Source organism: Homo sapiens, chromosome 16 (genome assembly GCF_000001405.40).
Source record: "Homo sapiens chromosome 16, GRCh38.p14 Primary Assembly".
NCBI lineage: Eukaryota > Metazoa > Chordata > Mammalia > Primates > Hominidae > Homo > Homo sapiens.
Window position 1 is genome coordinate 15,056,774 of NC_000016.10, and position 15,685 is coordinate 15,072,458.

Here is a 15,685-nt window from a genome sequence, read left to right on the forward strand (position 1 = left end):
CTGAAAATAATAAAAATAAATGTAAACGGTCTTAAACTGAGAAAATAGATCCTGAACTGTGCTAGCCCCACGTACTAAAGAGATCATCGATTAACACGTCGTGATTGGAATGCAATAGGCCACTCACAGGTGGGCTGGGAACCGTGGGGGAAGGATTTGCGGATACTGACTGCAGAGCCCCTAATCTGAGGACAGGTCCCCAAGGTGAGAGGCGTCTCACCGTGGAGCTCTCTTCTAAAACTTGGAAATATTGCTCAAATTCATCCAACTCTGCAGCACATTAACAAAAAGTAATTTTACAAAAGATACAGAGGAGCCACATGATACAGCAGAAACTTTATTAGAATTTTATCATCTGTATTCATCGTCTTCTTTCATAAATCTCCCCCTCAGCTTACACACCCCGTTCAACAAAAATACCAGGAAATTTACTAAAGAAATGACTGTAGAAGATGGTGTTCCCATCGCCAGGTTACCCAACTTCTCACCCAAAATAACTCTATTTCTAGCTACCAGGAAATTATTTCTCTGTATTATTACACCTACATTTCTCATTTGTCCTTACAAATGTAGGAGCTACTATCAACACCTCATTTGTCATTTGTCCTCACAAATGTAGGAGCTACTATCAACACCTCCGTTATAACAGATACAGTAACTTGCTCAAAGTGGTAGAAATAAGTAGTAGAACGAAGACTGAACCTAGCTTTGCATGATTCCAAAGGCAGTGCTCTCCATCACTATAAGATGCTCCTAGACTGTACTGTAAACAACTCATTCTAATGCAGGTGACATTAAGTAAGTCCCAACTAGGAAGCTCGGAGCTAAAAACAGGGTTTGAAACCAGGGTGATCAATGACCAGCAGGCTGGCCTGGAGCAAGTTACTTAACTTCCCTGAACTGGTTTTGTAGAATAGCATGTTTGTTTCACCTGGTACATACTAAACACTAAAGATAGCTATTATTGGAATTGCAGAGCAAAGAGTAGTCAATCAAAGTGAGGCATTTGGAAGTGCAAAGGTGAAGAACAAGGTTCTGTGGGTTCTGCCTGGGGCTGGTGCAGTTTGCCTAACTGGTTTTTCACTTTTGGGTGATCTTTTTTCAAGTAATCTCAGGTTATCAATCTCCTAGGCTGAGTACTGTGTTAAAGGACTAAATGAGCCAGATAACAAGCAGGAAACCACTCCCCTACCTCTCTTCCCACCCAGCTCCACAAATTTTGGTCTACAGGCAATGAGGAAGCAATAGCAGGTGTGTGGCCAGCACTGCGGCTCATGCCTGTAACCCCAGCACTTTGAAAGGCCGAAGGAGGACTCACTTGAGCCCAGAAGTTCGAGACGAGCCTGGACAACACAGGGATCCCTGCTTCTCCAACAAATACAAAAATTAGCTGGGCATGGTGGCAGGCCTGTAGTCCCAGCTACTCGGGAGGATCAATCAAGCCCTAGAGGTCAAGGCTGCAATGAGGCACGACTGTGCCACTGCACTCCTGCCTGGGTGATTACAGCAAGACCGTCTCAAAAAAAAAAGAAAAAGAAAAAGAAAGCACTAATTACAATGTTGGAAAGCCTGTTTCTTTAAGATAGGAAACCAACCTGCCTCACAAGATGGCTGATGGCAAAGTTCAAAGAATATATACAGGGAAATATTTTTTAAATTACACTTTTTTGAGGCCAGACATGGTGGCTCACGCCTGTAATCCCAGCACTTTGGGAGGCCGAGGCGGACAGATTGCTTGAGGTTAGGAGTTCAAGACCAGCCTGGCCAACATAGTGAAACTCCATCTCTACTAAAAATACAAAAATTAGCCAGGCATGGTGGTGCGTACCTGTAGTCCCAGCTACTCAGGAGACTGAGGTGGGCGGATCACTTGAGCCCAGGAGGCGGAGGTTGCAGTTGTTGAGCTGTGATTGCACCACTGCACTCCAGCCTGGGTGACAGAGTGAGACTCTTGTCTCAAAAAAAAGAATGATGAACATTATACAGAACCTTAGTAAATATTTAGTGAAAGGATCCCAATTTGTGTTTCAAATTTTTTAATGTAGAGATGGGGGTCTCACTATGTTGCCCCAGCTGATCTCAAACTCCTGGCTTCAAGAGATCCTTTTGCTGGCCTCCCCAAGTGCTCAGATTACAGGCATGAGCTACCACACCTGGCCCCAAATTATTAGATACATTATAAATCCTACTCAACCATCCAGAGTCAGACTGAAACACACAAAAGCATTTGATGGAAGAAAACATGGTGGAGCTTTGGATGTTCAATTAGTTGAAACAAGAAAAGTATGCAGTTGTACACCAATGAACAGTTCTCAAGGCAGCCTGCACCTTCGAATCACCAGGGGGCTTTAAAAACCATCCATGTCCAGACCCCTCTTCTGGAGACTGATTCAATCAAAGGTTGAGTTGGTGTGTGACGTGAGCCTGGGCATCCTTAGTTTCTCAGCACTCCAAGGGACTGATTCTAGGGCACAGCCAGGGTTAAGAACCACCATCGTAAGCACTGCCCGGCAAGGGAAACACGCTGGTTCCTCCTCTCCAGTTCAGATCTAAGTTGGTACCAGGGAGGTAGGTATTATGGAAGAAATAGAAGTTATCTTTAACCAAAAAAAACTTCCCATGGAAGTGCTTCCTTTCTTGCAAGAAAACAACAGCCATTAACTTGTACATGCATCGAATCCTTAAAGCCTTACACTAGTATCTTATTCCCATTTTACAGTTTAATTAGCGCTCAGAGAGGTTAGGTAACTTGCTCAACGTCAAACAGCTAGCTAGGAAAGGAAGCCCATGGCACTTGGTAAGTTGACTTGTAAAAATTCAGCCACTTCTCATCAAGGAAGACCAAACCAGAGCACACAGACAAAAGGACAGACCCTGGAGACTCCTACAACTGACAGCTTTTTAGTGAAAGGAAAAATTCCCATTGTTGGCATGTAATTTATAAGGAGATTTCACAGTATTTTTCCCCATAGATGTCCCTTCAAAGCATGTAACTTTTTGAAAGAAGTGTCTGCTTCCCTTGGACCTGCTCAAGCCTCAATCACTCTTTGCTGGGTGTGATTAAGGAGAGTCGCGGATACTTCATATAGTGCACACGGAAACCATCCTCACCCCGGCATGCAATGAATTCCATCAAGCTCCCCGCCACACCAGCACTATTTCTCCCTCTTCAACAGCAATGCCTCAGGAGTTTTCCACTGCAAAATGCTTTAATACATTAAATTAAAAAAAAAAAAACAAAACAGAAATTGAAAGAACATGTATTGAGGTACCTTTTATTGGTATAAGAACGTAAGTTCCAGATTAACCATGTCATTGTTTCATTTTCACCATGGATTTTTTTTCACAAACTCCTTTGAAATTAAACAGACTTATATGTAAATGTCTTTCTACATTAAAACTACTTCCCAACCCACAAAGACCCCACTTACTACTAATTTCTGGGGAATTTCGTTTACTCGTTTTATCTAATATTAAAAAATCAACATTTTGCCAGCAGTTAAAAAGACAACCTTAAAGTTCTCAAATTACTTTCCACCAAACCCGGAAAAGAAAACCACCCATATCCAAAACTTTAAAGCAATAAAAATTTCTATTTTCCAAAAAAGTATTTACAGACTGAAATTCAAACTCTACATTGCCATCAATGTAATTATACAAGTGCATACAAAGCCCTGGAAAAGAGGAAGTATTTCATTACAAAATATTTATGATCAAGAAAATATTGCTTGCCTTTAAATAAAGTGGCAGAAAATAAATATGCTTAAAGATGGCCATTTTCACAAGTAAACAAAAAAGTACACATGTAAGAAACAAAGTGAAAATGCTTGAGCTTCAAAATGACTCTAGCAGTGTTTGCACAAATTTGTTTTAAAGCGAGGTCTTCTGAAGACTTCCTCTGTTTAGTTATAAAAATACAAAAAGAGGCTTTAGAGAAGGATTTCACCAAGCCGAATGTGCGATGCACACAGCCATCAGACCAAGACTGCACTAGCAACTTCCACCTATTGTTGTGAGCAAAACCGTACACCAAATAATCTAAAAAAATTTTCCTGTTTCCAACAAAGAAATTCCCAATAACTAAGTGATGCAGATCAAAACTGACTCGATCTAATGGCCACCAAGGAGCAGTTCTAGATCTAAGGGGACACTTGAGAGCCAAGGGGTCAAATCCAATCTCATGTGTTTTACACAAGCCCGAACTCACTTTCAGTCTGTGTGAATTACATCTACCTGGACCTCCATTTTTGTCTTTTAAATCCATTTTTTCGCTGTGCCAAGTATATTACACATCTGATTCTGTTTCCCTATATCCTCTCTCTCTTCCCTATGGGCTTTTATTGGTCTCTGAAGTCCCTGGAGATCTTCAGTGCCAGCTCCAACTCTGTGTCCCAGACCATGTCGGGCCAGCTCTCAGCTTTCCTTCTGTCTTCTCTACACTCCCTTGAAATCCCAACAGACAAATACCAATACAGCAGAAGGTGAACAATGTAGCCAAAATAAACACTTTCTAGTTAAAGTCTTTAAATAGAAGTTTTATCTTAGAGGATTCTTCACTGAAAGCTCATCAGTCAAGTCCTAAGACCATGGATCTGACAAAAACCCATGTTAAAACAGCAACCCGTAAAACAGTCTGCTGCCTATATTAGAAATTACCCAGTAATTGTGTCAAAAAGCTGTTAACACAAAAAATGTACATATTAAACAAGCAAATCCTTCCAAATGTATCATCAACCCCACTGTAAAAGATTGCACATGATAGTCTTCATTTTGTCTGTAAGGGGAACAACAACAACAAAAAAACCCAGTCTTCAGATGCTTGATTCAGTCGAACCTGGAAGTGCCACAGCCGAGGCAGGCACTCGCTCTAGTTCAATGCCATCAATGCCCAATGGCACAAGCTGGGTGCTGAGGGCATGACAAGTGATGGGGAATCCCAAATGTCACATCTCAGTCACAAATTTCTGCCGTCAGAGGGGACTGGGTTGCATGTACAACACGGGTGGGGAGCCCACACTACTTGAAGGACTTCGGAAATGCGTGTCAAAGGAGCTTGGTGTGATCCCAATCACGGTATCATTCTGGGGCACTTCGCCTTTCAGAAAGTCATCATCTTCATCTTCCACTATGTCCTGCAGAAACATCAGAAATCATCAGTAACATCACCAGTGCTGACTGAAAAGCTTTCAACAATTCCTTCCTCAGGAAGGTGTTAACGTTTGTAAAGATGGTGAAGAAAATATCTTAATTTCAAAAGAAAGCCAGTGTAGTGGCACACGCCTGTAGTCCCAGCTACTCAGGAGGTGGAGGTGGGAGGACTGCTTGAGCTCAAGAGTTCCGAATCCAGCCTGGGCAACATAGCGAGACCATGTCTCTAGAAAAACAGAACAGAACAAAAGCTCCCTCTGATAAGCACTTCCTTCTTACCAACATACCCACATAACTGCTCATCACACATTGTAATCATTTGTTTCAAGTCTGACTTGCAAACAGATTTGAAGCTCAATGGGGACAGGAAACATGACGAGTCATTCTTGCCCAGTGTTAGGAACTCTTGTACCTAACACAATGTGAATGAATTACACGCCCCTCAACAAATGAAACATAAAGAAAAAGATGAAAGGGGCTTTCCAATGATTACTTATTAAAAACAACAACAAAAAAGCCATCTTGAAGCTGCTTTTAATGAGAAAACAAATGTGCTCCCAAGCAACAGAGCAGCGAAATTCTTTATTACTGGATTCTAACTTTCCTCTCTAACTGTAACTGTCTCAGCTCCACCTCATGTGACCTGGAGGGTATGTTGCAACCTGCGTCTTCACCACCCATTCATGAAGATCTATAAAACTAATGTAAACTGCTGGGGCAATTTCAACATGAGTCAACTGGAGATTGTTACTTGGTAAGAATGCGCAAGTGGCAAAGATCTAAATTCATTCAGCTAATTTGTAATTAACCTTCGCTTCTCACATGTCAGTATGTGAAGTGTCTGGTTTAAGCAATTTATCCAAAAAAGCCATAGACTCTTTAAATAACAACAAAACCTGGGCCTGGAATTTTATAAAGGCAGAATGAGTAAGACACGGTTTTGGTGTGCTTTTTTAAAGAAAACAGGGTCTTGCTCTGTTGCCCAGGATGAAGTGCCATGCTGCATTTACAGCTCACTGCAGCCTTGACCTCCCACCTCAGCTTCCAGAGGAGCTGGGATTACAGGTGTGCACCACCACGCCCAGCTAATTAAAAAAATTTTTGTAGAAACAGGGTGTCACTGTGTTGCCCAGGCTGGTCTCCAGCAATCCTCTGGCCTTGACCCCCTAAAGTGCGGGGATTACACGCACGAACGACTTGCCACTTACTATCTCACTGTGACCTGGAACCAGAAAGGAGATTCCGAGAGTGTGCTCAATCAATCACAAACTGACCTTTTTCATGGGTTTCTTGAACTCCTGTAGCTCTTCAGCACTCATGTCTTCCCACACCTGATAAATAGGATCAATGAATTTCTTTGACCTGTCAACAAAGATCACATTTCAAAGTCAAGTTAAATACTTCGGCAGAAGTCAAAATTGGTTTGGATCTTTTCTCACAAGATCTATTACCCAAAACCAAGAAGTGAAAACTACAGCTTAAATAATTACATTTAAAAAAAACCTGGCTGGGTGCAGTGGCTCACGCCTGTAATCCCAGCACTTTGGGAGGCTGAGGTGGGCAGATCATGAGGTCAGGAGATCGAGACCATCCTGGCTAACACGGTGAAACCCCATCTCTACTAAAAATACAAAAAATTAGCCGGGTGTGGTGGCGGACACCTGTAGTCCCAGCTACTCGGGAGGCTGAGGCAGAATGGCCTGAACCTGGGAGACGGAGCTTGCAGCGAGCCGAGATCGCGCCACTGCACTCCAGCCTGGGAGACAGAGCAAGACTCTGTCTCAAAAAAAAAAAAAAAAAAGAAAAAAACAAAACAAAAAAACAACCCTCTATGTAAATGCTGTAACTAATGTGGCTCTTTCTGTATAAGAGTTCATTCACTCATGTCGATGGAGTATTGAACTACCGTTTTTCATCTTTCCATTTTCATGTGAAATTGTTTCTAAACTTTACAAAGACTCACAAGTCAGTTAGATACAGTATATCCAAATGGAAATGAAACCGTAATATTCTGGAACTCTCTTTTTTATATTTCTGTAGTAATTTGCTGAAAAGTAAGTCTAGGAAAAACAACTAATCTGGTTTCAGTCAACCAAGACTTCAGGGACCAGACAATCCCAGATGGTCATGATGCTGCTAGTTATTTTAGAAACCATAATAAGCAAAAATCCTGCTTCCTTATACAAGTGCCAAGTTAAGGCTGGCCCAGTGGTTTTCTAGAACAACTCATCTAGATAAATCGCTTTTTGTTTTTTTTTTGTTTTGTTTTTCTGAGACAGAGTCTCACTCTCTCGCCCAGGCTGGAGTGCATTGGTGCAATCTCGGCTCACTGCAACCTCCACCTCCCGGGTTCAAGAGATTCTCCTGCCTCAGCCTCCCGAGTAGCTGGAATTACAGGCGCCACCACCACACCCAGCTAATTTTTGTATTTTTAGTAAAGACAGCGTTTCACCATCTTGGCTAGGCTGGTCTTGAACTCCTGACTTCAAGTGATCCGCCCGCCTCAGCCTCCCAAAGTGCTGGGATTACAGGCATGAGCCATTACGCCCAGCCAATCGTTTGTTTTTCGTTTATCCTGTGCAACAGAATGGTATGTGGTCTCTAGAGGAAGGAACAAGACACTTGGCAGAAAATTATGAAGCAAGAAAAGACAGCACCCTCCCCTATCCTGGCACCATTATCCCCATTAACCTTACATGTTTAAATAACAGTTTAAAGAAAAACAAAAAACAAAAAACCCTTGATGTCAGTCTGGCTCCTAGTGAGGCAAAGATCTACCCACTCTGGGGTGCCTGCGCCACTCGGCAAGTCCTGCTAGGCATCCTCTACTTTGCATCTGGTGAAATATACGCAGGGAGACCACGAGATGCTCATCAACAGCGAGGAAGGGCCACTTCTGGTGAAGAGCCCTAAATCCCAATTTTGGGAAAAGCAAACATGTATCACGTTTAAATCCACCTCCTGGCCGGGCGCGGTGGCTCACGCCTGTAATCCCAGCACTTTGGGAGGCCGAGGCGGGCGGATCACGAGGTCAGGAGATCGAGAACATCCCGGCTAACACAGTCAAACCCCGTCTCTACTAAAAATACAAAAAATTAGCCAGGCGTGGCAGTGGGTGCCTGTAGTCCCAGCTACTCGGGAGGCTGAGTCAGGAGAATGGTGTGAACCCGGGAGGCGGAGCTTGCGGTAAGCCGAGATCACACCACCGCACTCCAGCCTGGGCGACAGAGTGAGACTCCGTCTCAAAAAAAAAAAAAAAATCCACCTCCTCCAGCGTCAATGTTTAAAAGTACCTACCTCTTCAGCACACAGGGATCAAAGGGGAAGAAGGTGTCCAGCGGGTTTGTGCAGATCTGCACTGAGTCTCCTCCAGCGGTACTCCTAATGACTGGCAGCATCTGGCGATTGTTCCTCTCAATGATGGTGTAGCAGAAGACGAGCTGGTACTTACTGTGGAACAAAAAAACAACACAGACAGAGGCATTAACATGCTGGAGTGACTCGGTGCAGATGTGAGCTGCGTGTGACAACTGTACCTACCACAGAGAAATTGCTGAATATAACAAGTGCTAGTAAAAATAACAATATAAAGCAGAAAGTAACACTTTTAGGGTACCGTTCTATGGGTCTTCTATTTGCAAGTTTGCTAAGGAGAAAGAAAACGTGGCTATCACTCAGAATGTGAAACTGGGCTTATATTTTAATGAGTAATAGATATTATTCATTATATTTTAATGAGTAATAGATACTATTCATTAAAAATAAATGTTTGCAAGGCAAAACTCTTAGATTACGTAACTATAGGTGTCTTTATTTTTACTGTTTGCAAAAGAATTAGAAGGTTGGTGGTAAAGGGATTCAGGAGTTACTCAGGAGGAAATAGTGGTTGGTGAAGAGACTTGCTGAAGAAGCACTGAAAAAGAAATAAGCCTTTACTGAAGGAGGGACACGGGGTTGACTAAGTCATGACCTCAAAAACAGGCACAGAAAGGACTAGGCATGCCGAGTGAGAACAGTTAAATGCATAGAAGAAAACATAAAATAAAGACAATTATGTTTTTAATTTTTCCAGTAGTTGTCTCTAAATGATTGAGCAACTTGAAAAATTATCTATTGGACAGCTTCTCCAAGATGAGGACTCAGATCTCACTTCTGTCACTCTCCATCTCAGGTTCTCAGGTCACCATGGCAACTTCAAGCCACATACTTTGATTTCTGTCCTGTTAGCCAAGGCTCACAGCACTTGACCCCTCCTCCTGGTGGAGGACACATCAGCAAAACCACACTGGAGGGTGGTTTGCACTATCAGGTAAAGTTGAAGATCTGCATCTCCTACAACCCCGCAGCTGACCGCACTTCCGGGTGTGTGACAAGGAAGCATGTGCCCACACACAAGAATGTTCCTGAGCACTAAAACACTAACACAGCCGGCTGGGCACGGTGGCTCACACCTGTAATCCCAGCACTTTGGGAGGTTGAGGCAGGCGGTTCACTTGAGCTCAGGAGTTTGAGACCAGCCTGGTCAACATGATGAAACCCCATCTCTACTAAAAATACAAAAATTAGCTGGGCGTGGTGGCAGGCGCCTGTAGTCCCAGCTATTCGGGAGGCTGAGGCAGGAGAACTGCATGAGCCTCGGAGGTGGTGGTTGTAGTGAGCTAAGATCACGCCACTGTACTCCAGCCTGGGTGACAGAGCAAGACCTTGTCTCAAATAAAAAAAAAAAAAAAGACAAAAACTAACAGATGAAATCCCAACAAAGACTCAATAAAAAAGATTCCCAGAACATAACACAGCAGTTAAAATCAAAATAAAGCTTTGTGTCAATATGGTTCAATCTCAAAAGCATCAAGCAGGCAAAAGCAACAGCTACAGAATGGTACACGCCTTTATTTACCATATCTGTACCTAGGCAGAGACTTTTATTTCAATCCCCTGCTCTTAGCCTCACATCGCATCACACTCTGTGCCTCCAATGCGCATGCCAACCCCAAATCGAGAGCCCCTGGACCAGATGGTTCACAAATGCAGTCCTCTGTCCCCACCCCGAGAACATACCAGGGGCAGCGGCCTCTGCTTTGCTTCATCCATCCTCACTCTTTGAGCTGCTCACCATCTTAACCAACGTGCTGAAGCCTCCACCCACTCACTGCCGTTGCTTATTGGTCTCTTTATGCCTTTTCCTAATCCTTTACTATCACTGAGACTCAGAAGAGAGGACACCTTGAACCAGACGCCTAGCAAAGGAGAACTAAAGAGGCTGACGGAGCTCAGCAAGCTGTTGGCTCTTATCTGTTGAAGATTTTAAGCTATGATCCGGCCTAAATATCCTCATTGAATATTCAATTCTCCAATTCGCTTTCTCCATAAAGCAGAATAACTTAGTGAAAGCTTACAAAGGAGCCAGACTACATTTAAATCTGTGCTGCCAGTCTAGCTCTATGACTTTAGGCAAGTGATTTCACCTCTCTGTACCTCCACCTCCCTGTTGATAAACAGGGTTTCATCCTAGAGGATCAAATGAGTTCTATGTAAAGTGCTTAGAACTGCCTGGCACAGAGGAAAGGCTATGGATTAGCCATAGCTACCAGACCTGAGAGAACAGAACTCTCTAAACCAATCTCTTACAGGTCAACATTTGCCTCATGTCCAGTTTATTTCTATTACTATTACAGGAGTCACTCTAATAAGCATCTATGGCTTTGCCCCTCTCAGCTTACTGGTTGCCATACTTATTTCAAAGTGCTGCCCTTTGGATAAGAAGTAGTAGTAATTTCCAACGCCATCAAAGTATAAAAACAATAGCTGTATCACAGTATTTCCTGCAAGGACTGGGTTGTTTTTGTTTGTTTAAGAGACAGGGTCTCATTCTGGAGCCCAGACTGGAGTGCAGTGGTACAATCAGGGCTCACTGCATCCTTGACTTCCTGGGCTCAAGTGATCCTCCTACCTCAGCCTCCTGAGTAGTTGGGACTACAGGCACAGGCAACCACACCCAGCTAATTTTTAAAATTTTTTTGTAGAGATAGGGTCTCACTATGTTGCTCAGGCTGGTCTTTTAACTCCTGGCCTCAAGCAATCCTCCCACCTCAGCCTCCCAAAATGTTGAGATTACAGGTGTCAGCCACCACGCCTGGCCTTTTATAATGTTACTAATTTCATAGAAATTTAACACTCTTACAATACTAGATAAACATAAATAAAAATATTTTAAATAACTCCCATCAAGAAAGCGTAAATAACTTACTTTGTGATTGCAGCAAAAAAGTTAACCACTGAGGGCAGGCAAATCTTCAGGGGATTTAGCTGGCTCATCACTATCCGCTCAAAATTCAGACTCTGAAGATACTGCAAACCTTTGGTTTAAAAAAAAAAAAGATTTTTTTAAAGGTACAAATAAGTGAAAAGTGTAAGATACTTTTAAAAGCACAAATTATCACACATTTAAAAAAAACTTTAAAAAATTATTTGCAGAAATGCTTTAAATAAAGGTCCATGCAGATAGTCACACAGTATATGGCCCAGAAGAGTATCACTAGGCTAACCACATTCATTGGTCACCAAGGCAGCTTCTCTAAAGAAAACTTAGGAAGTAGCAGGCTGTAAGATTCCACGACAATGTGAAATTCATATGTTTGCAAGCTCAGTGTATGCTGAGATAATACAGAGGGAGAAAAGACCTTGTGATTTGGTTTCAGCTAACAATCATGACAGGCAACAAAACAAAACAGCAATTTGATTCTAGCTTGCATGTCTTGTTAGTGAAGCTGAGTGCTGTTTTCAGGTGCACAGTAGTCATCTGTAGTTTTTTTTCTAAACAAGAAAACTCCAAATTTGCCTTCTACCTCAACGGACGGCAAATTTAGACAGAAACCACTTTCTTAGACTTAATGAATATAATTCTTTTCTACATGAGTAAAATAAAGACATCACATTTATTTTAAGAGGCAAGCTGACCAACTTGTACTTAAGTATATTTTCTTAGGAGTTTCTTTGATACGTATTTCAATAAAAATTACCTAAATGGGATGTCACAGCTTACAAAAACAAGATATTTAATCCAGATTCCTGGCATTAATTTATACAAAGAAAAGCAGAGCTTGTATTTACTTACCTTGTGATAAAACCTCATCCTACTAGTTCATACAACATCTTTTAGAAGCATGTAGGATGTAGGTAAACATATATAATGCAACACATACAACTTTCAGTTTAGAGCTGTGGCTGTTAACCCAAGGAGACTGCGACCCCCGCAGAGGACACCTGGCAGTATCTGGAGACACTTTTAGTTGTCACAGCTGGGGGTGGTCGGGGACTGCTGTTGGCAGCTAGTAGGTGGAGGCTGTTAAACATCCTACAGTGCAGAGGACAGCCCCCGACGATGAAGGATGATGCAGCCCAAATGGCAATCGTGCAGGGTTCAGAGACCCCGGTTTAGAGGAAGTGACCCACAAAACCATAAGAATTATTCATAAACATAAACAGAACAATTTACAATGACTTATAAACACTGTTCTTGGAGACTCTCTTCAACTAAAATACACTAATCTAATAAGTTTCAACTGACAGATTTGAATTATAAGTAACTCTTAGAAATTAGCAAAACAATACTGGTCAATTAAGTCTCAAGGCTTCAGGCAGAGTTTAATCTATATAAACTCAAACTTTAGGGTCAGCCAAACCTGGCTTCAGTTTTCTAATCCTGCCACTAACCATGTGATCTTGGGAAAATGACTTTCCTGTGCTTTAGTGCTGTCTGTAAAGGGAGAATACCTGCCATTTACTGGGCTGTTACAAGGACAACAAAGAGAAGGTGCATCCAACTGAAGCTTTGTACAGGGCGCTGGCACAGCCCAGGGCTCAGCCTCACCTCTGGAGACATCTTCACATTTCAAACTTTCAAAGGCAGAAACCTCTTTCTTAACCTCAAATCCATCTTAAGGGGTTTGTAGGGTTCTCAAGCTCAAATCTATCTTAAGGGGTTTGTAGGGGCCTATGAGCTGCTTGAAATTATTATTAAAAGTTTGAGTGCACATGCAGTTTTCTGAATCCAGTTTTTATAAAAATCTCAAAAAAGTAATGAATCACCATTCTGAAGGGTGACAAGAACACAAGGAAAATCCAGTCCAGCACTCCCACAACACTGACCTTCTTTCAGGTTTCCGCTCAAAAGCTGCTTGTGTCTAAAAACAAAGGTGTAGAACACAGCTTGGCAGGCTGAGTAAAATGGTCCATGGAGAGCAACATCGCAGAATGCCTTTGTTCCCGAATCCTGGTTATTAAGGTATATGTGCAGCCAGTTAACCAAAAGATCTAGGCATGATTTTACAGTACTAGAGAAAAGAAAAATTCAAGTCAACTTTACACATCATAAAAAAACCAGAATAACATAAAAACACACAACTGCCTTTCATTACAAACCATGCTAAGTAAGTTCATAGGTTTCTTTAAATAATACCCATGGGTACAGAGGAAAAGCAAAGAAAGGAAGGATAAGGATGGGTGCGTAGGAAGACAACCTTCCAATTACAAGGCAGAGTAGCTCTGACCTTCTAGGAACAGGTGAGCCCCTAAGAACGTCCCAAGGGATGGAAAGCAGGTTCTCCTAACCATCTCAAAGGCACCCCTCTTAAGGTGATTGGCCAAACAGGACACGTTCACCAACACCTCTCAAGAGAAAGACAGTCTGGTGGACTTCAGTATTCCCTGATGCATCCTAGTCAAGTCCTATGGTGAATAATTTTGTGGTTGGGGAAGGGTTTCAACAGCATCCTTGTCCAAAGGTATCTTTATGGGCCACTGGAAGAAACTGGCCTCCTAGATAGGTCTATTACCTTTAAAAGGGTTTTTCTTCAGCTTTAACAGATACAATAGATTTGGAATGCAAATGAAAAAATGACAAACCTACAAAAAGAATCAAAACAGTATACAACACTGTCCTCTATCCACAAAACAAATGGATCTTTAAGTGCAACCAAAAGAGATGACAAAAGCCTTACATACAGGGTTTTATATATAAAAAAGGAGACACTTTATTCTAAAATCACCACTTAGAAATATAAACATCTTGCACAGAGTAGGGATTTTATTCACTTTAAAAACATGCCAAAAAAAATGGGAGATATTTCTGACTTGAGACAATGCTATACTCTTTTTAAAGCATGATATTAAAAAGTATTCGGAAAATTAGGCTACTTACATAAGAGGAATAAATTTAGCTCTTGCCAAAAAGCTTCCAATATAATTTCCAGCAGCCTGCCTGATGATGGCAGGATTACTTGGGTCCTGCAATTTTTTCCAGAGATGTTCCAAAAATGCCTCTGCGAATCCCTATAAAAAGAGAGGGCGTCGGTGTGATCTTTTTTAATGCCTAAGATAATCTGGCTATCAAAATCCCAAGATTTTTACTTCACCAATGTAGGGAAAAGTTCTACTATCTCATAACTATCTCATGGGCTTCATTTTTAAAACACATTGAGAGAATATCATTAAAAACAAAAGGCACCTCGGGTGTTAAATAATCCAGTGGATCCCAAACCTAGCTAAGCATCACAATCAACCCGGGGCCAGGCACAGTGGCTCACGCCTGTAATCCCAGCACTTTGGGAGGCCGAGGCGGGTGGATCACCCAAGGTCAGGAGCTCGAGACCAGCCTGGCCAACATGGAGAAACCCTGTCTCTACTAAAAATACAAAAATTAGCCAGGCATGGTGGCAGGTGCCTGTAATCCCAGCTACTTGGGAGGCTGAGGCAGGAGAATCGCTTGAACCCAGGAGGCAGAGGTTGCAGTGAGCTGAGATCATGCCACTACACTCCAGCCTGGGTGACAGAGTGAGACTCCATCTCAAAAAACAAACAAACAAAAAACAACAAAAAATTCAACCTGGGAGGTACAAATTCAATAGGTTTGTGACAGGGCTTTGGAATCCACATATTACAAAAACTCTTCAAGTGATTCCAATGTCAGCCAGAACTGGTGACCAACAATAATTCACATCCCATGGAGCTCCACATGGGCACTCCTGTGAGTGCAAAGCACCTTCCGGTCTCTGGACACACTGAACTCAACCACGAACAGAAATACGGACTAACGCACAGCTGGTATTTGAGTTAATTATGCCAATCATGGAAAAAAACAGACACAGCTTCTCACCAAAGGGTGTAACTTCCAACTTCTCCTAAATAGCGCTGTTCTAAAGCTAGGCACACCCATGTGGGCAGACTGAATTCAACCTTCTTTCCCATGACCAACACTCTCCTGATCTCTAGGAAGCCACAAAATCGTTGCAGAGAAGGAAAAGCCTTCTACATTCTTTCCCCCACCAAAAAAAAAAAAAAAAGAAGAAGAAGAAGAAAAGACAAAGCCTAAAGTTTTTAAAATTCTAGATTAATAAGTTGGTTTGGGCTAGTTACAACTCAACCCTTGGAAAGAATAAAGGAAATACAGTTAATTACCCCATATGAGATTTTAATAGAGAAAGGCTTAAGGGAAGAGCACCACCTAGTGACCAAAAGGCAGGATGACATTTTCGGAGCA

General features: G+C 42.2%; 2 protein-coding genes across 11 annotated transcripts in view, besides 1 other annotated feature; one reads left to right on the top strand and one right to left on the bottom strand.

Moving 5' to 3' along the window:
- Window positions 1-15,685, top strand: part of PDXDC1 (pyridoxal dependent decarboxylase domain containing 1) — a 178,484-nt gene that overhangs the window by 82,039 nt on the left and 80,760 nt on the right. The gene's annotated exons all lie outside the window — the stretch shown is intronic.
- Window positions 3,249-15,685, bottom strand: part of RRN3 (RNA polymerase I transcription factor RRN3) — a 34,314-nt gene continuing 21,877 nt past the window's right edge. The window contains exons 12-17 of one of the 2 annotated variants that reach the window (NM_001301064.1): window positions 14,348-14,478; window positions 13,297-13,481; window positions 11,396-11,504; window positions 8,446-8,598; window positions 6,423-6,510; window positions 3,249-5,132 (exon numbers count right to left, since the gene is read on the bottom strand). In NM_001301064.1, coding sequence (NP_001287993.1) covers window positions 4,971-5,132; window positions 6,423-6,510; window positions 8,446-8,598; window positions 11,396-11,504; window positions 13,297-13,481; window positions 14,348-14,478 — 828 coding nt within the window. In that variant the 3' untranslated portion in view covers window positions 3,249-4,970. The remainder of the gene's footprint in view (window positions 5,133-6,422; window positions 6,511-8,445; window positions 8,599-11,395; window positions 11,505-13,296; window positions 13,482-14,347; window positions 14,479-15,685) is intronic. The other variant, NM_018427.5, reaches the window with a different exon arrangement.
- Window positions 5,396-5,596: a silencer, noted in NCBI's record as "peak2507 fragment used in MPRA reporter construct". NCBI's record gives its function as "represses an SCP1 promoter by STARR-seq MPRAs in K562 erythroleukemia cells {active_cell/tissue: K562}" and the evidence as "EXISTENCE:reporter gene assay evidence [ECO:0000049][PMID:32103011]".